Source organism: Homo sapiens, chromosome 1 (assembly GCF_000001405.40).
Source record: "Homo sapiens chromosome 1, GRCh38.p14 Primary Assembly".
In the NCBI taxonomy this organism is placed as follows: Eukaryota; Metazoa; Chordata; class Mammalia; order Primates; family Hominidae; genus Homo; species Homo sapiens.
Genome location: NC_000001.11, coordinates 146,095,962 through 146,119,186, shown reverse-complemented (window position 1 = coordinate 146,119,186; position 23,225 = coordinate 146,095,962). Strand labels below are relative to the sequence as shown.

At 44.0% G+C, this 23,225-nt stretch overlaps 1 protein-coding gene across 2 annotated transcripts in view; it reads left to right on the top strand.

Moving 5' to 3' along the window:
* NBPF10 (NBPF member 10) overlaps window positions 1-23,225 on the top strand; it is an 80,106-nt gene that overhangs the window by 25,618 nt on the left and 31,263 nt on the right. For both annotated transcript variants that reach the window (NM_001039703.6, NM_001302371.3), the window contains exons 24-52: window positions 645-817; window positions 1,532-1,640; window positions 2,243-2,415; window positions 3,137-3,188; window positions 3,785-3,957; window positions 4,667-4,718; window positions 5,363-5,535; window positions 6,250-6,358; window positions 6,961-7,133; window positions 7,855-7,906; window positions 8,503-8,675; window positions 9,385-9,436; window positions 10,073-10,245; window positions 10,960-11,068; window positions 11,671-11,843; window positions 12,563-12,614; window positions 13,211-13,383; window positions 14,093-14,144; window positions 14,791-14,963; window positions 15,678-15,786; window positions 16,389-16,561; window positions 17,281-17,332; window positions 17,929-18,101; window positions 18,811-18,862; window positions 19,513-19,685; window positions 20,400-20,508; window positions 21,111-21,283; window positions 22,003-22,054; window positions 22,651-22,823. In NM_001039703.6, the coding sequence (NP_001034792.4) occupies window positions 645-817; window positions 1,532-1,640; window positions 2,243-2,415; window positions 3,137-3,188; window positions 3,785-3,957; window positions 4,667-4,718; window positions 5,363-5,535; window positions 6,250-6,358; window positions 6,961-7,133; window positions 7,855-7,906; window positions 8,503-8,675; window positions 9,385-9,436; window positions 10,073-10,245; window positions 10,960-11,068; window positions 11,671-11,843; window positions 12,563-12,614; window positions 13,211-13,383; window positions 14,093-14,144; window positions 14,791-14,963; window positions 15,678-15,786; window positions 16,389-16,561; window positions 17,281-17,332; window positions 17,929-18,101; window positions 18,811-18,862; window positions 19,513-19,685; window positions 20,400-20,508; window positions 21,111-21,283; window positions 22,003-22,054; window positions 22,651-22,823 (3,608 nt within the window). The remainder of the gene's footprint in view (window positions 1-644; window positions 818-1,531; window positions 1,641-2,242; window positions 2,416-3,136; window positions 3,189-3,784; window positions 3,958-4,666; window positions 4,719-5,362; window positions 5,536-6,249; window positions 6,359-6,960; window positions 7,134-7,854; window positions 7,907-8,502; window positions 8,676-9,384; window positions 9,437-10,072; window positions 10,246-10,959; window positions 11,069-11,670; window positions 11,844-12,562; window positions 12,615-13,210; window positions 13,384-14,092; window positions 14,145-14,790; window positions 14,964-15,677; window positions 15,787-16,388; window positions 16,562-17,280; window positions 17,333-17,928; window positions 18,102-18,810; window positions 18,863-19,512; window positions 19,686-20,399; window positions 20,509-21,110; window positions 21,284-22,002; window positions 22,055-22,650; window positions 22,824-23,225) is intronic.

The window sequence follows — 23,225 nt, the reverse complement described above, 5'->3', positions numbered from 1 at the left end:
GCAATTGTGAACAGCTACTTCTGTGTTGACATCTGGAGACTCCTGGTTCAGGGAAAACAGAGCGGGCTGACATTATCGATTACATCTTTTCAACCAAGCCTGAATTATTCCTACTAACATTGCTGTTGGTTTTCATTGCAGTAGATATTTAGGTTTCCATTTCTTCCTCCCCTTATCATTTACTAACCTACTGTAGGTGGACCAGACTTCAAAAACTGTATTCTCATGGTGACTGCATGGAAACTTGAGCACATTTTATGGAAAATTATTGAGCACAGTCTTTTCATGATCCCTGTATGCTGTGTGTCCTGAGGGCACTAACTCAGAGTGTCCTGTTACTCCCTCATCAGTGCGTCACCTGGACAATTCACTGAGCTCGTTCTCTCTCTCTCTCTCTGTGTGTGTGTGTGTGTGTGTGTGTGTGTGTGTGTGTGTGTGTGTGTGTGTCTATCTGTCTTTCTCTTTCATTCTTTTCCATTTGGCCCTGTTCTGTCCCAACATGAAGGCAATAATTTGTTACCTCATTAATGGATCTATCCTTTTAGTTTTTTAACCACTTCCCTATGCTACCCATGAAACCTAGTTGGGGCTCTGTTGTGTCTGATTTCCCCTGGCTTATTCTTTACTTTTTCCTCCTTTTCCAGGCTCAGCAGGGAGCTGCTGGAGGTAGTAGAGCCTGAAGTCTTGCAGGACTCACTGGATAGATGTTATTCAACTCCTTCCAGTTGTCTTGAACAGCCTGACTCCTGCCAGCCCTATGGAAGTTCCTTTTATGCATTGGAGGAAAACCATGTTGGCTTTTCTCTTGACGTGGGAGGTGAGTACCTTTCTATGAAGGTGATAAGGATCCACTGAGTCTTCCATATAAAGATCATATTCCTGCTCCAAGTGGCCATTACTGAGCTGAGAGATGTCATTGCCACAGGGAGGACCTATAGGCACATGTAGGTTGAATGAAACTCTAGTTCTACCTGGAAGCCCAGACAAGGGATGGGTCAGTGAGCAAGACTCTCTTCCTAGTCTCAGGCCATACCTGTGGCGCCCTGATCCTATTCTCATGACATTGGACCTGGGCAGATGTGACAAATTCAGAGAACTATGATTTTGACTCAAGGGTTTGTAGATTTCCTTTTTCACTCTAATTTCAGTGTCTAAAGTCCTCACAACCATGAACAATCTGAGTATTTGATGAGACAGGGCTAAATATTGCAGTTTTTCTCCTAGAAATCATTTGAGGGTATTTGCTTTAAGTTGATTGGAAAAATATGGCGTAACTGTTTGCACAAACTTGGGACAAATGATATTGAGATAACGATCTACTAGAATAGGGACATTTTACCCACAGTTTCTGGGAGAAAAACCGAGGAATTTCTGTCATGACCAGCCTTCAGGCCTCCTGAAATATATCTCTCACAGTGTCCTATTCTTATGCTGAGGAGCCTGAGGTCCCTGTGTGAGGATTAGACAGTGGATTGTTATGTGTGTAGGGGAATCAGCTTAATGTGTCTGTCCATGTCTGAATTTATTGCAGAAATTGAAAAGAAGGGGAAGGGGAAGAAAAGAAGGGGAAGAAGATCAAAGAAGGAAAGAAGAAGGGGAAGAAAAGAAGGGGAAGAAGATCAAAACCCACCATGCCCCAGGTGACTTTCAGCAATTGTGGATGCTTAATTCTGTGTTAACACCTGGAGGCAACAGATTCAGGGAAACCAGAGTGTGTTTGATGACATGTTTTCAGCGAAGGCTGAATTACTCCTACTGTCATTGCTGTTGGTTTTCATTGCAGTAGATGTTTAGGTTTCCATTTCTTCCTCCCCTTATCATTTCCTAACGTACCATAGGTTGACCATACTTCAAAAGCTGTACTCTCATGGCCACTGCATCGAATTTTGAGCATATTTTATGGAAAACTATTGAGCTCACTCTTTTCATGATCACAGTTTGCTGTGTGTCATGAGGGCACTAACTCAGAGTGTCCTTTGACTCCCTTACCAGTATGTCACCTGGCCAATTCACTAGGTCACTTTCTCTCTGTCTCTGTCTCTGTCTCTGTCTGTCTTTCTCTTTCATTGTTTTCTACCTGGCCCTGTTCTGTCCCAACATAAAGGCAATAATTTGTTACCTCATTAATGGATCTGTCCTTTTTCTTTTCAAACTCTTCCTTACGTTAGCCATGAAATCTAGCTGGGGCTGTGTGGTTTCTGATTCCCCCTGGCTTATTCTTTACTTTTTCCCACTTTTCCAGGCTCAGCAGGGAGCTGCTGGAAGAGAAAGGGCCTGAAGTCTTGCAGGACTCACTGGATAGATGTTATTCAACTCCTTCAGGTTGTCTTGAACTGACTGACTCATGCCAGCCCTACAGAAGTGCCTTTTATGTATTGGAGCAACAGCGTGTTGGCTTCGCTGTTGACATGGATGGTGAGTACCTTTCTATGAAGGTGATAAGGATCCACTGAGTCTTCTGGTTAGGGTCATATTCCTACTGCAAGTGGCCCTTACTGAGCTGAGAGATGTCATTGCCACAGGGAGGACCTATAGGCACATGTAGGTTGAATGAAACTCTAGTTCCACTTGGAAGCCCAGACAAGGGATGGGTCAGTGAGCAAGGCTCTCTTCCTAGTCTCAGGCCATGCCTGTGGCGCCCTAATCCTACTCTCATGACATTGGACCTGGGCAGATGTGACAAATTCACACAACTCTGATTTTGTCTCAATTTTGTAGATCTTGTAGATTTCATCCTTCACTCTAATTTCAGCGTCTGAAATCCTCGCTACCATGAACAATCTGAGTATTTGATGAGACAGGGCTGAATAGTGCAGTTTTTCTCCTAGCAACCATTTGGGGGCAATTCCTTTAAATCGATTGGAAAAATATGGCATAACCATTTGCACAAACTTGGGACAAATGATATTGGGATAACGATCTACCAGAATAGGGAATTTTACCCACAGTTTCTGGGACAAAAACCAAGGAATCTCTATGGTGATCAGCCTTCATGCCTCCTGAAGAATATCTCTCACAGTGTCCTATTCTCATGCTGAGGAGCCTGAAGTCCCTGTGTGAGGATTAGACAGTGGATTGTTATGTGTGTTTAGGAGAACCAGCTTAATATGTCTGTCCATGTCTGAACTTATTGCAGAAATTGAAAAGTACCAAGAAGTGGAAGAAGACCAAGACCCATCATGCCCCAGGTAACTATGAGCAATTATGGATGCTTAATTCTGTGTTGACACCTGGAGATGCCAGGTCCAGGGAAAACAAGAGTGTGTTCAATTTCATGTTTTCAACGAAGGTTGAATTACTCCTACTGACATTGCTGTTGGTTTTCATTGCAGTAGATGTTTAGGTTTCCATTTCTTCCTCCCCTTATCATTTACTCACTTACTATAGGTTGACCATACCTCAAAGGCTGTATGGCAACTGCATGGAATCTTGAGCAAGTTTATGGAAAATTATTGAGCCCACTCTTTTCATGATCACTGTTCGCTGTGTGTCCCGAGGGCACTAACTCAGAGTGTCCTTTGACCCCTTCATCAGTGTGTCACCCGGCCAATTCGCTGAGCTCACTTTCTCCTCTCTCTCTCTCTCCCTCTCCCTGTCTTTCTCTTTCATTCTTTTCTACCTGGCCCTGGTCTATCCCAACATAAAGGCAATAATTCATTACCTCATTAACGGATCTGTCCTTTTTCTTTTTAAACAGTTCCTTATGTTAGCCATGAAATCTAGCTGGGGCTGTGTGGTTTCTGATTCCCCCTGACTTATTCTTTACTTTTTCCTACTTTTCCAGGCTCAGCAGGGAGCTGCTGGATGAGAAAGAGCCTGAAGTCTTGCAGGACTCACTGGATAGATGTTATTCGACTCCTTCAGGTTATCTTGAACTGCCTGACTTAGGCCAGCCCTACAGCAGTGCTGTTTACTCATTGGAGGAACAGTACCTTGGCTTGGCTCTTGACGTGGACAGTGAGTACCTTACTGTGAAGGTGATAAGCCTCCACCTGTTCTTCCAGATAGGGGTGATATTCCTGTTCCAAGTGCCCCTTACTGACCCGAGAGACGTCATTGCCGCAGGCAGGACCTATGGGCGCATATAGGTTGTAATGAAACTGTAGTCTCAGTTGGAAGCCTAGACATGAAATGGGTCAGTGAGCAAGGCTCTATTCCTAGTCTCCAGCCATGCCTGTGGCAACCTGAGCCCGCTCTCAGCACGTTGGACCCAGGCAGATGTAAAAAATTCACAGAAGTATGATTTGGACTGAAGGGTTTGTAGATTTCCTCCTTCATTCTAATTTCAGTGTCTAAAATTCTTGCATCCATGAACGAGCTGGGCATTTGATGAGACAGGGCTGAATACTGCAGTTTTCCTCCTGGAAATCATCTGGGGCATTTTCTTTGAACTGATGGGAACAATAAAGCATAACTGTTTGCACAAACTTGGGATAAATGATTTTGGGATAACGATCTACCAGAATGGGGATATTTCACCCTTGGTTCTGAGATGCAAACCAAAGAATATCATGACCAGCTTTCAGGCCTCCTGAAGTATATCTCTCACATTGTCCTGTTCTCATGCTGAGGAGCCTGAGATCCCTGTGTGGGGATTAGACAGTGGACTGTTATGGGTGTAGGTGAATTGGCTTATTTTGTCTGTCCCTGTCTGAATGTATTGCAGGAATTAAAAAGGACGAAGAAGAGGAAGAAGACCAAGACCCACCATGCCCCAGGTAACTGAGCAATTGTGAACAGCTACTTCTGTGTTGACATCTGGAGACTCCTGGTTCAGGGAAAACAGAGCGGGCTGACATTATCGATTACATCTTTTCAACCAAGCCTGAATTATTCCTACTAACATTGCTGTTGGTTTTCATTGCAGTAGATATTTAGGTTTCCATTTCTTCCTCCCCTTATCATTTACTAACCTACTGTAGGTGGACCAGACTTCAAAAACTGTATTCTCATGGTGACTGCATGGAAACTTGAGCACATTTTATGGAAAATTATTGAGCACAGTCTTTTCATGATCCCTGTATGCTGTGTGTCCTGAGGGCACTAACTCAGAGTGTCCTGTTACTCCCTCATCAGTGCGTCACCTGGACAATTCACTGAGCTCGTTCTCTCTCTCTCTCTCTGTGTGTGTGTGTGTGTGTGTGTGTGTGTGTGTGTGTGTGTGTCTATCTGTCTTTCTCTTTCATTCTTTTCCATTTGGCCCTGTTCTGTCCCAACATGAAGGCAATAATTTGTTACCTCATTAATGGATCTATCCTTTTAGTTTTTTAACCACTTCCCTATGCTACCCATGAAACCTAGTTGGGGCTCTGTTGTGTCTGATTTCCCCTGGCTTATTCTTTACTTTTTCCTCCTTTTCCAGGCTCAGCAGGGAGCTGCTGGAGGTAGTAGAGCCTGAAGTCTTGCAGGACTCACTGGATAGATGTTATTCAACTCCTTCCAGTTGTCTTGAACAGCCTGACTCCTGCCAGCCCTATGGAAGTTCCTTTTATGCATTGGAGGAAAAACATGTTGGCTTTTCTCTTGACGTGGGAGGTGAGTACCTTTCTATGAAGGTGATAAGGATCCACTGAGTCTTCCATATAAAGATCATATTCCTGCTCCAAGTGGCCATTACTGAGCTGAGAGATGTCATTGCCACAGGGAGGACCTATAGGCACATGTAGGTTGAATGAAACTCTAGTTCTACCTGGAAGCCCAGACAAGGGATGGGTCAGTGAGCAAGACTCTCTTCCTAGTCTCAGGCCATACCTGTGGCGCCCTGATCCTATTCTCATGACATTGGACCTGGGCAGATGTGACAAATTCAGAGAACTATGATTTTGACTCAAGGGTTTGTAGATTTCCTTTTTCACTCTAATTTCAGTGTCTAAAGTCCTCACAACCATGAACAATCTGAGTATTTGATGAGACAGGGCTAAATATTGCAGTTTTTCTCCTAGAAATCATTTGAGGGTATTTGCTTTAAGTTGATTGGAAAAATATGGCGTAACTGTTTGCACAAACTTGGGACAAATGATATTGAGATAACGATCTACTAGAATAGGGACATTTTACCCACAGTTTCTGGGAGAAAAACCGAGGAATTTCTGTCATGACCAGCCTTCAGGCCTCCTGAAATATATCTCTCACAGTGTCCTATTCTTATGCTGAGGAGCCTGAGGTCCCTGTGTGAGGATTAGACAGTGGATTGTTATGTGTGTAGGGGAATCAGCTTAATGTGTCTGTCCATGTCTGAATTTATTGCAGAAATTGAAAAGAAGGGGAAGGGGAAGAAAAGAAGGGGAAGAAGATCAAAGAAGGAAAGAAGAAGGGGAAGAAAAGAAGGGGAAGAAGATCAAAACCCACCATGCCCCAGGTGACTTTCAGCAATTGTGGATGCTTAATTCTGTGTTAACACCTGGAGGCAACAGATTCAGGGAAACCAGAGTGTGTTTGATGACATGTTTTCAGCGAAGGCTGAATTACTCCTACTGTCATTGCTGTTGGTTTTCATTGCAGTAGATGTTTAGGTTTCCATTTCTTCCTCCCCTTATCATTTCCTAACGTACCATAGGTTGACCATACTTCAAAAGCTGTACTCTCATGGCCACTGCATCGAATTTTGAGCATATTTTATGGAAAACTATTGAGCTCACTCTTTTCATGATCACAGTTTGCTGTGTGTCATGAGGGCACTAACTCAGAGTGTCCTTTGACTCCCTTACCAGTATGTCACCTGGCCAATTCACTAGGTCACTTTCTCTCTGTCTCTGTCTCTGTCTCTGTCTGTCTTTCTCTTTCATTGTTTTCTACCTGGCCCTGTTCTGTCCCAACATAAAGGCAATAATTTGTTACCTCATTAATGGATCTGTCCTTTTTCTTTTCAAACTCTTCCTTACGTTAGCCATGAAATCTAGCTGGGGCTGTGTGGTTTCTGATTCCCCCTGGCTTATTCTTTACTTTTTCCCACTTTTCCAGGCTCAGCAGGGAGCTGCTGGAAGAGAAAGGGCCTGAAGTCTTGCAGGACTCACTGGATAGATGTTATTCAACTCCTTCAGGTTGTCTTGAACTGACTGACTCATGCCAGCCCTACAGAAGTGCCTTTTATGTATTGGAGCAACAGCGTGTTGGCTTCGCTGTTGACATGGATGGTGAGTACCTTTCTATGAAGGTGATAAGGATCCACTGAGTCTTCTGGTTAGGGTCATATTCCTACTGCAAGTGGCCCTTACTGAGCTGAGAGATGTCATTGCCACAGGGAGGACCTATAGGCACATGTAGGTTGAATGAAACTCTAGTTCCACTTGGAAGCCCAGACAAGGGATGGGTCAGTGAGCAAGGCTCTCTTCCTAGTCTCAGGCCATGCCTGTGGCGCCCTAATCCTACTCTCATGACATTGGACCTGGGCAGATGTGACAAATTCACACAACTCTGATTTTGTCTCAATTTTGTAGATCTTGTAGATTTCATCCTTCACTCTAATTTCAGCGTCTGAAATCCTCGCTACCATGAACAATCTGAGTATTTGATGAGACAGGGCTGAATAGTGCAGTTTTTCTCCTAGCAACCATTTGGGGGCAATTCCTTTAAATCGATTGGAAAAATATGGCATAACCATTTGCACAAACTTGGGACAAATGATATTGGGATAACGATCTACCAGAATAGGGAATTTTACCCACAGTTTCTGGGACAAAAACCAAGGAATCTCTATGGTGATCAGCCTTCATGCCTCCTGAAGAATATCTCTCACAGTGTCCTATTCTCATGCTGAGGAGCCTGAAGTCCCTGTGTGAGGATTAGACAGTGGATTGTTATGTGTGTTTAGGAGAACCAGCTTAATATGTCTGTCCATGTCTGAACTTATTGCAGAAATTGAAAAGTACCAAGAAGTGGAAGAAGACCAAGACCCATCATGCCCCAGGTAACTATGAGCAATTATGGATGCTTAATTCTGTGTTGACACCTGGAGATGCCAGGTCCAGGGAAAACAAGAGTGTGTTCAATTTCATGTTTTCAACGAAGGTTGAATTACTCCTACTGACATTGCTGTTGGTTTTCATTGCAGTAGATGTTTAGGTTTCCATTTCTTCCTCCCCTTATCATTTACTCACTTACTATAGGTTGACCATACCTCAAAGGCTGTATGGCAACTGCATGGAATCTTGAGCAAGGTTATGGAAAATTATTGAGCCCACTCTTTTCATGATCACTGTTCGCTGTGTGTCCCGAGGGCACTAACTCAGAGTGTCCTTTGACCCCTTCATCAGTGTGTCACCCGGCCAATTCGCTGAGCTCACTTTCTCCTCTCTCTCTCTCTCCCTCTCCCTGTCTTTCTCTTTCATTCTTTTCTACCTGGCCCTGGTCTATCCCAACATAAAGGCAATAATTCATTACCTCATTAACGGATCTGTCCTTTTTCTTTTTAAACAGTTCCTTATGTTAGCCATGAAATCTAGCTGGGGCTGTGTGGTTTCTGATTCCCCCTGGCTTATTCTTTACTTTTTCCTACTTTTCCAGGCTCAGCAGGGAGCTGCTGGATGAGAAAGAGCCTGAAGTCTTGCAGGACTCACTGGATAGATGTTATTCGACTCCTTCAGGTTATCTTGAACTGCCTGACTTAGGCCAGCCCTACAGCAGTGCTGTTTACTCATTGGAGGAACAGTACCTTGGCTTGGCTCTTGACGTGGACAGTGAGTACCTTACTGTGAAGGTGATAAGCCTCCACCTGGTCTTCCAGATAGGGGTGATATTCCTGTTCCAAGTGCCCCTTACTGACCCGAGAGACGTCATTGCCGCAGGCAGGACCTATGGGCGCATATAGGTTGTAATGAAACTGTAGTCTCAGTTGGAAGCCTAGACATGAAATGGGTCAGTGAGCAAGGCTCTATTCCTAGTCTCCAGCCATGCCTGTGGCAACCTGAGCCCGCTCTCAGCACATTGGACCCAGGCAGATGTAAAAAATTCACAGAAGTATGATTTGGACTGAAGGGTTTGTAGATTTCCTCCTTCATTCTAATTTCAGTGTCTAAAATTCTTGCATCCATGAACGAGCTGGGCATTTGATGAGACAGGGCTGAATACTTTAGTTTTCCTCCTGGAAATCATCTGGGGCATTTTCTTTGAACTGATGGGAACAATAAAGCATAACTGTTTGCACAAACTTGGGATAAATGATTTTGGGATAACGATGTACCAGAATGGGGATATTTCACCCTTGGTTCTGAGATGCAAACCAAAGAATATCATGACCAGCTTTCAGGCCTCCTGAAGTATATCTCTCACATTGTCCTGTTCTCATGCTGAGGAGCCTGAGATCCCTGTGTGGGGATTAGACAGTGGACTGTTATGGGTGTAGGTGAATTGGCTTATTTTGTCTGTCCCTGTCTGAATGTATTGCAGGAATTAAAAAGGACGAAGAAGAGGAAGAAGACCAAGACCCACCATGCCCCAGGTAACTGAGCAATTGTGAACAGCTACTTCTGTGTTGACATCTGGAGACTCCTGGTTCAGGGAAAACAGAGCGGGCTGACATTATCGATTACATCTTTTCAACCAAGCCTGAATTATTCCTACTAACATTGCTGTTGGTTTTCATTGCAGTAGATATTTAGGTTTCCATTTCTTCCTCCCCTTATCATTTACTAACCTACTGTAGGTGGACCAGACTTCAAAAACTGTATTCTCATGGCGACTGCATGGAAACTTGAGCACATTTTATGGAAAATTATTGAGCACAGTCTTTTCATGATCCCTGTATGCTGTGTGTCCTGAGGGCACTAACTCAGAGTGTCCTGTTACTCCCTCATCAGTGCGTCACCTGGACAATTCACTGAGCTCGTTCTCTCTCTCTCTCTCTGTGTGTGTGTGTGTGTGTGTGTGTGTGTGTGTGTCTATCTGTCTTTCTCTTTCATTCTTTTCCATTTGGCCCTGTTCTGTCCCAACATGAAGGCAATAATTTGTTACCTCATTAATGGATCTATCCTTTTAGTTTTTTAACCACTTCCCTATGCTACCCATGAAACCTAGTTGGGGCTCTGTTGTGTCTGATTTCCCCTGGCTTATTCTTTACTTTTTCCTCCTTTTCCAGGCTCAGCAGGGAGCTGCTGGAGGTAGTAGAGCCTGAAGTCTTGCAGGACTCACTGGATAGATGTTATTCAACTCCTTCCAGTTGTCTTGAACAGCCTGACTCCTGCCAGCCCTATGGAAGTTCCTTTTATGCATTGGAGGAAAAACATGTTGGCTTTTCTCTTGACGTGGGAGGTGAGTACCTTTCTATGAAGGTGATAAGGATCCACTGAGTCTTCCATATAAAGATCATATTCCTGCTCCAAGTGGCCATTACTGAGCTGAGAGATGTCATTGCCACAGGGAGGACCTATAGGCACATGTAGGTTGAATGAAACTCTAGTTCTACCTGGAAGCCCAGACAAGGGATGGGTCAGTGAGCAAGACTCTCTTCCTAGTCTCAGGCCATACCTGTGGCGCCCTGATCCTATTCTCATGACATTGGACCTGGGCAGATGTGACAAATTCAGAGAACTATGATTTTGACTCAAGGGTTTGTAGATTTCCTTTTTCACTCTAATTTCAGTGTCTAAAGTCCTCACAACCATGAACAATCTGAGTATTTGATGAGACAGGGCTAAATATTGCAGTTTTTCTCCTAGAAATCATTTGAGGGTATTTGCTTTAAGTTGATTGGAAAAATATGGCGTAACTGTTTGCACAAACTTGGGACAAATGATATTGGGATAACGATCTACTAGAATAGGGACATTTTACCCACAGTTTCTGGGAGAAAAACCGAGGAATTTCTATCATGACCAGCCTTCAGGCCTCCTGAAATATATCTCTCACAGTGTCCTATTCTTATGCTGAGGAGCCTGAGGTCCCTGTGTGAGGATTAGACAGTGGATTGTTATGTGTGTAGGGGAATCAGCTTAATGTGTCTGTCCATGTCTGAATTTATTGCAGAAATTGAAAAGAAGGGGAAGGGGAAGAAAAGAAGGGGAAGAAGATCAAAGAAGGAAAGAAGAAGGGGAAGAAAAGAAGGGGAAGAAGATCAAAACCCACCATGCCCCAGGTGACTTTCAGCAATTGTGGATGCTTAATTCTGTGTTAACACCTGGAGGCAACAGATTCAGGGAAACCAGAGTGTGTTTGATGACATGTTTTCAGCGAAGGCTGAATTACTCCTACTGTCATTGCTGTTGGTTTTCATTGCAGTAGATGTTTAGGTTTCCATTTCTTCCTCCCCTTATCATTTCCTAACGTACCATAGGTTGACCATACTTCAAAAGCTGTACTCTCATGGCCACTGCATCGAATTTTGAGCATATTTTATGTAAAACTATTGAGCTCACTCTTTTCATGATCACAGTTTGCTGTGTGTCATGAGGGCACTAACTCAGAGTGTCCTTTGACTCCCTTACCAGTATGTCACCTGGCCAATTCACTAGGTCACTTTCTCTCTGTCTCTGTCTCTGTCTCTGTCTGTCTTTCTCTTTCATTGTTTTCTACCTGGCCCTGTTCTGTCCCAACATAAAGGCAATAATTTGTTACCTCATTAATGGATCTGTCCTTTTTCTTTTCAAACTCTTCCTTACGTTAGCCATGAAATCTAGCTGGGGCTGTGTGGTTTCTGATTCCCCCTGGCTTATTCTTTACTTTTTCCCACTTTTCCAGGCTCAGCAGGGAGCTGCTGGATGAGAAAGGGCCTGAAGTCTTGCAGGACTCACTGGATAGATGTTATTCAACTCCTTCAGGTTGTCTTGAACTGACTGACTCATGCCAGCCCTACAGAAGTGCCTTTTATGTATTGGAGCAACAGCATGTTGGCTTGGCTGTTGACATGGATGGTGAGTACCTTTCTATGAAGGTGATAAGGATCCACTGAGTCTTCTGGTTAGGGTCATATTCCTACTGCAAGTGGCCCTTACTGAGCTGAGAGATGTCATTGCCACAGGGAGGAACTATAGGCACATGTAGGTTGAGTGAAACTCTAGTTCCACTTGGAAGCCCAGACAAGGGATGGGTCAGTGAGCAAGGCTCTCTTCCTAGTCTCAGGCCATGCCCGTGGCGCCCTAATCCTACTCTCAAGATGTTGGATCTGGGCAGATGTGACAAATTCACACAACTCTGATTTTGTCTCAATTTTGTAGATCTTGTCGATTTCATCCTTCACTCTAATTTCAGCGTCTCAAATCCTCACTACCATGAACAATCTGAGTATTTGATGAGACAGGGCTGAATAGTGCAGTTTTTCTCCTAGCAGCCATTTGGGGGCATTTGCTTTAAATCGATTGGAAAAATATGGCATAACCATTTGCACAAACTTGGGACAAATGATATTGGGATAACGATCTACCAGAATAGGGAATTTTACCCACAGTTTCTGGGACAAAAACCAAGGAATCTCTATGGTGATCAGCCTTCAGGCCTCCTGAAGACTATCTCTCACAGTGTCCTATTCTCATGCTGAGGAGCCTGAAGTCCCTGTGTGAGGATTAGACAGTGGATTGTTATGTGTGTAGGAGAACCAGCTTAATATGTCTGTCCATGTCTGAACTTATTGCAGAAATTGAAAAGTACCAAGAAGTGGAAGAAGACCAAGACCCATCATGCCCCAGGTAACTTTGAGCAATTATGGATGCTTAATTCTGTGTTGACACCTGGAGATGCCAGGTCCAGGGAAAACAAGAGTGTGTTCAATTTCATGTTTTCAACGAAGGTTGAATTACTCCTACTGACATTGCTGTTGGTTTTCATTGCAGTAGATGTTTAGGTTTCCATTTGTTCCTCCCCTTATCATTTACTCACTTACTATAGGTTGACCATACCTCAAAGGCTGTATGGCAACTGCATGGAATCTTGAGCAAGGTTATGGAAAATTATTGAGCCCACTCTTTTCATGATCACTGTTCGCTGTGTGTCCCGAGGGCACTAACTCAGAGTGTCCTTTGACCCCTTCATCAGTGTGTCACCCGGCCAATTCGCTGAGCTCACTTTCTCCTCTCTCTCTCTCTCCCTCTCCCTGTCTTTCTCTTTCATTCTTTTCTACCTGGCCCTGGTCTATCCCAACATAAAGGCAATAATTCATTACCTCATTAATGGATCTGTCCTTTTTCTTTTTAAACAGTTCCTTATGTTAGCCATGAAATCTAGCTGGGGCTGTGTGGTTTCTGATTCCCCCTGACTTATTCTTTACTTTTTCCTACTTTTCCAGGCTCAGCAGGGAGCTGCTGGATGAGAAAGAGCCTGAAGTCTTGCAGGACTCACTGGATAGATGTTATTCGACTCCTTCAGGTTATCTTGAACTGCCTGACTTAGGCCAGCCCTACAGCAGTGCTGTTTACTCATTGGAGGAACAGTACCTTGGCTTGGCTCTTGACGTGGACAGTGAGTACCTTACTGTGAAGGTGATAAGCCTCCACCTGGTCTTCCAGATAGGGGTGATATTCCTGTTCCAAGTGCCCCTTACTGACCCGAGAGACGTCATTGCCGCAGGCAGGACCTATGGGCGCATATAGGTTGTAATGAAACTGTAGTCTCAGTTGGAAGCCTAGACATGAAATGGGTCAGTGAGCAAGGCTCTATTCCTAGTCTCCAGCCATGCCTGTGGCAACCTGAGCCCGCTCTCAGCACATTGGACCCAGGCAGATGTAAAAAATTCACAGAAGTATGATTTGGACTGAAGGGTTTGTAGATTTCCTCCTTCATTCTAATTTCAGTGTCTAAAATTCTTGCATCCATGAACGAGCTGGGCATTTGATGAGACAGGGCTGAATACTTTAGTTTTCCTCCTGGAAATCATCTGGGGCATTTTCTTTGAACTGATGGGAACAATAAAGCATAACTGTTTGCACAAACTTGGGATAAATGATTTTGGGATAACGATGTACCAGAATGGGGATATTTCACCCTTGGTTCTGAGATGTAAACCAAAGAATATCATGACCAGCTTTCAGGCCTCCTGAAGTATATCTCTCACATTGTCCTGTTCTCATGCTGAGGAGCCTGAGATCCCTGTGTGGGGATTAGACAGTGGACTGTTATGGGTGTAGGTGAATTGGCTTATTTTGTCTGTCCCTGTCTGAATGTATTGCAGGAATTAAAAAGGACCAAGAAGAGGAAGAAGACCAAGGCCCACCATGCCCCAGGTAACTGAGCAATTGTGAACAGCTACTTCTGTGTTGACATCTGGAGACTCCTGGTTCAGGGAAAACAGTGCGGGCTGACATTATCGATTACATCTTTTCAACCAAGCCTGAATTATTCCTACTAACATTGCTGTTGGTTTTCATTGCAGTAGATATTTAGGTTTCCATTTCTTCCTCCCCTTATCATTTACTAACCTACTGTAGGTGGACCAGACTTCAAAAACTGTATTCTCATGGCGACTGCATGGAAACTTGAGCACATTTTATGGAAAATTATTGAGCACAGTCTTTTCATGATCCCTGTATGCTGTGTGTCCTGAGGGCACTAACTCAGAGTGTCCTGTTACTCCCTCATCAGTGTGTCACCTGGACAATTCACTGAGCTCGTTCTCTCTCTCTCTCTCTGTGTGTGTGTGTGTGTGTGTGTGTGTGTGTGTGTGTGTGTGTGTCTATCTGTCTTTCTCTTTCATTCTTTTCCATTTGGCCCTGTTCTGTCCCAACATGAAGGCAATAATTTGTTACCTCATTAATGGATCTATCCTTTTAGTTTTTTAACCACTTCCCTATGCTACCCATGAAACCTAGTTGGGGCTCTGTTGTGTCTGATTTCCCCTGGCTTATTCTTTACTTTTTCCTCCTTTTCCAGGCTCAGCAGGGAGCTGCTGGAGGTAGTAGAGCCTGAAGTCTTGCAGGACTCACTGGATAGATGTTATTCAACTCCTTCCAGTTGTCTTGAACAGCCTGACTCCTGCCAGCCCTATGGAAGTTCCTTTTATGCATTGGAGGAAAAACATGTTGGCTTTTCTCTTGACGTGGGAGGTGAGTACCTTTCTATGAAGGTGATAAGGATCCACTGAGTCTTCCATATAAAGATCATATTCCTGCTCCAAGTGGCCATTACTGAGCTGAGAGATGTCATTGCCACAGGGAGGACCTATAGGCACATGTAGGTTGAATGAAACTCTAGTTCTACCTGGAAGCCCAGACAAGGGATGGGTCAGTGAGCAAGACTCTCTTCCTAGTCTCAGGCCATACCTGTGGCGCCCTGATCCTATTCTCATGACATTGGACCTGGGCAGATGTGACAAATTCAGAGAACTATGATTTTGACTCAAGGGTTTGTAGATTTCCTTTTTCACTCTAATTTCAGTGTCTAAAGTCCTCACAACCATGAACAATCTGAGTATTTGATGAGACAGGGCTAAATATTGCAGTTTTTCTCCTAGAAATCATTTGAGGGTATTTGCTTTAAGTTGATTGGAAAAATATGGCGTAACTGTTTGCACAAACTTGGGACAAATGATATTGGGATAACGATCTACTAGAATAGGGACATTTTACCCACAGTTTCTGGGAGAAAAACCGAGGAATTTCTATCATGACCAGCCTTCAGGCCTCCTGAAATATATCTCTCACAGTGTCCTATTCTTATGCTGAGGAGCCTGAGGTCCCTGTGTGAGGATTAGACAGTGGATTGTTATGTGTGTAGGGGAATCAGCTTAATGTGTCTGTCCATGTCTGAATTTATTGCAGAAATTGAAAAGAAGGGGAAGGGGAAGAAAAGAAGGGGAAGAAGATCAAAGAAGGAAAGAAGAAGGGGAAGAAAAGAAGGGGAAGAAGATCAAAACCCACCATGCCCCAGGTGACTTTCAGCAATTGTGGATGCTTAATTCTGTGTTAACACCTGGAGGCAACAGATTCAGGGAAACCAGAGTGTGTTTGATGACATGTTTTCAGCGAAGGCTGAATTACTCCTACTGTCATTGCTGTTGGTTTTCATTGCAGTAGATGTTTAGGTTTCCATTTCTTCCTCCCCTTATCATTTCCTAACGTACCATAGGTTGACCATACTTCAAAAGCTGTACTCTCATGGCCACTGCATCGAATTTTGAGCATATTTTATGGAAAACTATTGAGCTCACTCTTTTCATGATCACAGTTTGCTGTGTGTCATGAGGGCACTAACTCAGAGTGTCCTTTGACTCCCTTACCAGTATGTCACCTGGCCAATTCACTAGGTCACTTTCTCTCTGTCTCTGTCTCTGTCTCTGTCTGTCTTTCTCTTTCATTGTTTTCTACCTGGCCCTGTTCTGTCCCAACATAAAGGCAATAATTTGTTACCTCATTAATGGATCTGTCCTTTTTCTTTTCAAACTCTTCCTTACGTTAGCCATGAAATCTAGCTGGGGCTGTGTGGTTTCTGATTCCCCCTGGCTTATTCTTTACTTTTTCCCACTTTTCCAGGCTCAGCAGGGAGCTGCTGGATGAGAAAGGGCCTGAAGTCTTGCAGGACTCACTGGATAGATGTTATTCAACTCCTTCAGGTTGTCTTGAACTGACTGACTCATGCCAGCCCTACAGAAGTGCCTTTTATGTATTGGAGCAACAGCATGTTGGCTTGGCTGTTGACATGGATGGTGAGTACCTTTCTATGAAGGTGATAAGGATCCACTGAGTCTTCTGGTTAGGGTCATATTCCTACTGCAAGTGGCCCTTACTGAGCTGAGAGATGTCATTGCCACAGGGAGGAACTATAGGCACATGTAGGTTGAGTGAAACTCTAGTTCCACTTGGAAGCCCAGACAAGGGATGGGTCAGTGAGCAAGGCTCTCTTCCTAGTCTCAGGCCATGCCCGTGGCGCCCTAATCCTACTCTCAAGATGTTGGATCTGGGCAGATGTGACAAATTCACACAACTCTGATTTTGTCTCAATTTTGTAGATCTTGTCGATTTCATCCTTCACTCTAATTTCAGCGTCTAAAATCCTCACTACCATGAACAATCTGAGTATTTGATGAGACAGGGCTGAATAGTGCAGTTTTTCTCCTAGCAGCCATTTGGGGGCATTTGCTTTAAATCGATTGGAAAAATATGGCATAACCATTTGCACAAACTTGGGACAAATGATATTGGGATAACGATCTACCAGAATAGGGAATTTTACCCACAGTTTCTGGGACAAAAACCAAGGAATCTCTATGGTGATCAGCCTTCAGGCCTCCTGAAGACTATCTCTCACAGTGTCCTATTCTCATGCTGAGGAGCCTGAAGTCCCTGTGTGAGGATTAGACAGTGGATTGTTATGTGTGTAGGAGAACCAGCTTAATATGTCTGTCCATGTCTGAACTTATTGCAGAAATTGAAAAGTACCAAGAAGTGGAAGAAGACCAAGACCCATCATGCCCCAGGTAACTTTGAGCAATTATGGATGCTTAATTCTGTGTTGACACCTGGAGATGCCAGGTCCAGGGAAAACAAGAGTGTGTTCAATTTCATGTTTTCAACGAAGGTTGAATTACTCCTACTGACATTGCTGTTGGTTTTCATTGCAGTAGATGTTTAGGTTTCCATTTCTTCCTCCCCTTATCATTTACTCACTTACTATAGGTTGACCATACCTCAAAGGCTGTATGGCAACTGCATGGAATCTTGAGCAAGGTTATGGAAAATTATTGAGCCCACTCTTTTCATGATCACTGTTCGCTGTGTGTCCCGAGGGCACTAACTCAGAGTGTCCTTTGACCCCTTCATCAGTGTGTCACCCGGCCAATTCGCTGAGCTCACTTTCTCCTCTCTCTCTCTCTCCCTCTCCCTGTCTTTCTCTTTCATTCTTTTCTACCTGGCCCTGGTCTATCCCAACATAAAGGCAATAATTCATTACCTCATTAATGGATCTGTCCTTTTTCTTTTTAAACAGTTCCTTATGTTAGCCATGAAATCTAGCTGGGGCTGTGTGGTTTCTGATTCCCCCTGACTTATTCTTTACTTTTTCCTACTTTTCCAGGCTCAGCAGGGAGCTGCTGGATGAGAAAGAGCCTGAAGTCTTGCAGGACTCACTGGATAGATGTTATTCGACTCCTTCAGGTTATCTTGAACTGCCTGACTTAGGCCAGCCCTACAGCAGTGCTGTTTACTCATTGGAGGAACAGTACCTTGGCTTGGCTCTTGACGTGGACAGTGAGTACCTTACTGTGAAGGTGATAAGCCTCCACCTGGTCTTCCAGATAGGGGTGATATTCCTGTTCCAAGTGCCCCTTACTGACCCGAGAGACGTCATTGCCGCAGGCAGGACCTATGGGCGCATATAGGTTGTAATGAAACTGTAGTCTCAGTTGGAAGCCTAGACATGAAATGGGTCAGTGAGCAAGGCTCTATTCCTAGTCTCCAGCCATGCCTGTGGCAACCTGAGCCCGCTCTCAGCACATTGGACCCAGGCAGATGTAAAAAATTCACAGAAGTATGATTTGGACTGAAGGGTTTGTAGATTTCCTCCTTCATTCTAATTTCAGTGTCTAAAATTCTTGCATCCATGAACGAGCTGGGCATTTGATGAGACAGGGCTGAATACTTTAGTTTTCCTCCTGGAAATCATCTGGGGCATTTTCTTTGAACTGATGGGAACAATAAAGCATAACTGTTTGCACAAACTTGGGATAAATGATTTTGGGATAACGATGTACCAGAATGGGGATATTTCACCCTTGGTTCTGAGATGTAAACCAAAGAATATCATGACCAGCTTTCAGGCCTCCTGAAGTATATCTCTCACATTGTCCTGTTCTCATGCTGAGGAGCCTGAGATCCCTGTGTGGGGATTAGACAGTGGACTGTTATGGGTGTAGGTGAATTGGCTTATTTTGTCTGTCCCTGTCTGAATGTATTGCAGGAATTAAAAAGGACCAAGAAGAGGAAGAAGACCAAGGCCCACCATGCCCCAGGTAACTGAGCAATTGTGAACAGCTACTTCTGTGTTGACATCTGGAGACTCCTGGTTCAGGGAAAACAGTGCGGGCTGACATTATCGATTACATCTTTTCAACCAAGCCTGAATTATTCCTACTAACATTGCTGTTGGTTTTCATTGCAGTAGATATTTAGGTTTCCATTTCTTCCTCCCCTTATCATTTACTAACCTACTGTAGGTGGACCAGACTTCAAAAACTGTATTCTCATGGCGACTGCATGGAAACTTGAGCACATTTTATGGAAAATTATTGAGCACAGTCTTTTCATGATCCCTGTATGCTGTGTGTCCTGAGGGCACTAACTCAGAGTGTCCTGTTACTCCCTCATCAGTGTGTCACCTGGACAATTCACTGAGCTCGTTCTCTCTCTCTCTCTCTCTCTGTGTGTGTGTGTGTGTGTGTGTGTGTGTGTGTGTGTGTGTGTGTCTATCTGTCTTTCTCTTTCATTCTTTTCCATTTGGCCCTGTTCTGTCCCAACATGAAGGCAATAATTTGTTACCTCATTAATGGATCTATCCTTTTAGTTTTTTAACCACTTCCCTATGCTACCCATGAAACCTAGTTGGGGCTCTGTTGTGTCTGATTTCCCCTGGCTTATTCTTTACTTTTTCCTCCTTTTCCAGGCTCAGCAGGGAGCTGCTGGAGGTAGTAGAGCCTGAAGTCTTGCAGGACTCACTGGATAGATGTTATTCAACTCCTTCCAGTTGTCTTGAACAGCCTGACTCCTGCCAGCCCTATGGAAGTTCCTTTTATGCATTGGAGGAAAAACATGTTGGCTTTTCTCTTGACGTGGGAGGTGAGTACCTTTCTATGAAGGTGATAAGGATCCACTGAGTCTTCCATATAAAGATCATATTCCTGCTCCAAGTGGCCATTACTGAGCTGAGAGATGTCATTGCCACAGGGAGGACCTATAGGCACATGTAGGTTGAATGAAACTCTAGTTCTACCTGGAAGCCCAGACAAGGGATGGGTCAGTGAGCAAGACTCTCTTCCTAGTCTCAGGCCATACCTGTGGCGCCCTGATCCTATTCTCATGACATTGGACCTGGGCAGATGTGACAAATTCAGAGAACTATGATTTTGACTCAAGGGTTTGTAGATTTCCTTTTTCACTCTAATTTCAGTGTCTAAAGTCCTCACAACCATGAACAATCTGAGTATTTGATGAGACAGGGCTAAATATTGCAGTTTTTCTCCTAGAAATCATTTGAGGGTATTTGCTTTAAGTTGATTGGAAAAATATGGCGTAACTGTTTGCACAAACTTGGGACAAATGATATTGGGATAACGATCTACTAGAATAGGGACATTTTACCCACAGTTTCTGGGAGAAAAACCGAGGAATTTCTATCATGACCAGCCTTCAGGCCTCCTGAAATATATCTCTCACAGTGTCCTATTCTTATGCTGAGGAGCCTGAGGTCCCTGTGTGAGGATTAGACAGTGGATTGTTATGTGTGTAGGGGAATCAGCTTAATGTGTCTGTCCATGTCTGAATTTATTGCAGAAATTGAAAAGAAGGGGAAGGGGAAGAAAAGAAGGGGAAGAAGATCAAAGAAGGAAAGAAGAAGGGGAAGAAAAGAAGGGGAAGAAGATCAAAACCCACCATGCCCCAGGTGACTTTCAGCAATTGTGGATGCTTAATTCTGTGTTAACACCTGGAGGCAACAGATTCAGGGAAACCAGAGTGTGTTTGATGACATGTTTTCAGCGAAGGCTGAATTACTCCTACTGTCATTGCTGTTGGTTTTCATTGCAGTAGATGTTTAGGTTTCCATTTCTTCCTCCCCTTATCATTTCCTAACGTACCATAGGTTGACCATACTTCAAAAGCTGTACTCTCATGGCCACTGCATCGAATTTTGAGCATATTTTATGTAAAACTATTGAGCTCACTCTTTTCATGATCACAGTTTGCTGTGTGTCATGAGGGCACTAACTCAGAGTGTCCTTTGACTCCCTTACCAGTATGTCACCTGGCCAATTCACTAGGTCACTTTCTCTCTGTCTCTGTCTCTGTCTCTGTCTGTCTTTCTCTTTCATTGTTTTCTACCTGGCCCTGTTCTGTCCCAACATAAAGGCAATAATTTGTTACCTCATTAATGGATCTGTCCTTTTTCTTTTCAAACTCTTCCTTACGTTAGCCATGAAATCTAGCTGGGGCTGTGTGGTTTCTGATTCCCCCTGGCTTATTCTTTACTTTTTCCCACTTTTCCAGGCTCAGCAGGGAGCTGCTGGATGAGAAAGGGCCTGAAGTCTTGCAGGACTCACTGGATAGATGTTATTCAACTCCTTCAGGTTGTCTTGAACTGACTGACTCATGCCAGCCCTACAGAAGTGCCTTTTATGTATTGGAGCAACAGCATGTTGGCTTGGCTGTTGACATGGATGGTGAGTACCTTTCTATGAAGGTGATAAGGATCCACTGAGTCTTCTGGTTAGGGTCATATTCCTACTGCAAGTGGCCCTTACTGAGCTGAGAGATGTCATTGCCACAGGGAGGAACTATAGGCACATGTAGGTTGAGTGAAACTCTAGTTCCACTTGGAAGCCCAGACAAGGGATGGGTCAGTGAGCAAGGCTCTCTTCCTAGTCTCAGGCCATGCCCGTGGCGCCCTAATCCTACTCTCAAGATGTTGGATCTGGGCAGATGTGACAAATTCACACAACTCTGATTTTGTCTCAATTTTGTAGATCTTGTCGATTTCATCCTTCACTCTAATTTCAGCGTCTCAAATCCTCACTACCATGAACAATCTGAGTATTTGATGAGACAGGGCTGAATAGTGCAGTTTTTCTCCTAGCAGCCATTTGGGGGCATTTGCTTTAAATCGATTGGAAAAATATGGCATAACCATTTGCACAAACTTGGGACAAATGATATTGGGATAACGATCTACCAGAATAGGGAATTTTACCCACAGTTTCTGGGACAAAAACCAAGGAATCTCTATGGTGATCAGCCTTCAGGCCTCCTGAAGACTATCTCTCACAGTGTCCTATTCTCATGCTGAGGAGCCTGAAGTCCCTGTGTGAGGATTAGACAGTGGATTGTTATGTGTGTAGGAGAACCAGCTTAATATGTCTGTCCATGTCTGAACTTATTGCAGAAATTGAAAAGTACCAAGAAGTGGAAGAAGACCAAGACCCATCATGCCCCAGGTAACTTTGAGCAATTATGGATGCTTAATTCTGTGTTGACACCTGGAGATGCCAGGTCCAGGGAAAACAAGAGTGTGTTCAATTTCATGTTTTCAACGAAGGTTGAATTACTCCTACTGACATTGCTGTTGGTTTTCATTGCAGTAGATGTTTAGGTTTCCATTTCTTCCTCCCCTTATCATTTACTCACTTACTATAGGTTGACCATACCTCAAAGGCTGTATGGCAACTGCATGGAATCTTGAGCAAGGTTATGGAAAATTATTGAGCCCACTCTTTTCATGATCACTGTTCGCTGTGTGTCCCGAGGGCACTAACTCAGAGTGTCCTTTGACCCCTTCATCAGTGTGTCACCCGGCCAATTCGCTGAGCTCACTTTCTCCTCTCTCTCTCTCTCCCTCTCCCTGTCTTTCTCTTTCATTCTTTTCTACCTGGCCCTGGTCTATCCCAACATAAAGGCAATAATTCATTACCTCATTAATGGATCTGTCCTTTTTCTTTTTAAACAGTTCCTTATGTTAGCCATGAAATCTAGCTGGGGCTGTGTGGTTTCTGATTCCCCCTGACTTATTCTTTACTTTTTCCTACTTTTCCAGGCTCAGCAGGGAGCTGCTGGATGAGAAAGAGCCTGAAGTCTTGCAGGACTCACTGGATAGATGTTATTCGACTCCTTCAGGTTATCTTGAACTGCCTGACTTAGGCCAGCCCTACAGCAGTGCTGTTTACTCATTGGAGGAACAGTACCTTGGCTTGGCTCTTGACGTGGACAGTGAGTACCTTACTGTGAAGGTGATAAGCCTCCACCTGGTCTTCCAGATAGGGGTGATATTCCTGTTCCAAGTGCCCCTTACTGACCCGAGAGACGTCATTGCCGCAGGCAGGACCTATGGGCGCATATAGGTTGTAATGAAACTGTAGTCTCAGTTGGAAGCCTAGACATGAAATGGGTCAGTGAGCAAGGCTCTATTCCTAGTCTCCAGCCATGCCTGTGGCAACCTGAGCCCGCTCTCAGCACATTGGACCCAGGCAGATGTAAAAAATTCACAGAAGTATGATTTGGACTGAAGGGTTTGTAGATTTCCTCCTTCATTCTAATTTCAGTGTCTAAAATTCTTGCATCCATGAACGAGCTGGGCATTTGATGAGACAGGGCTGAATACTTTAGTTTTCC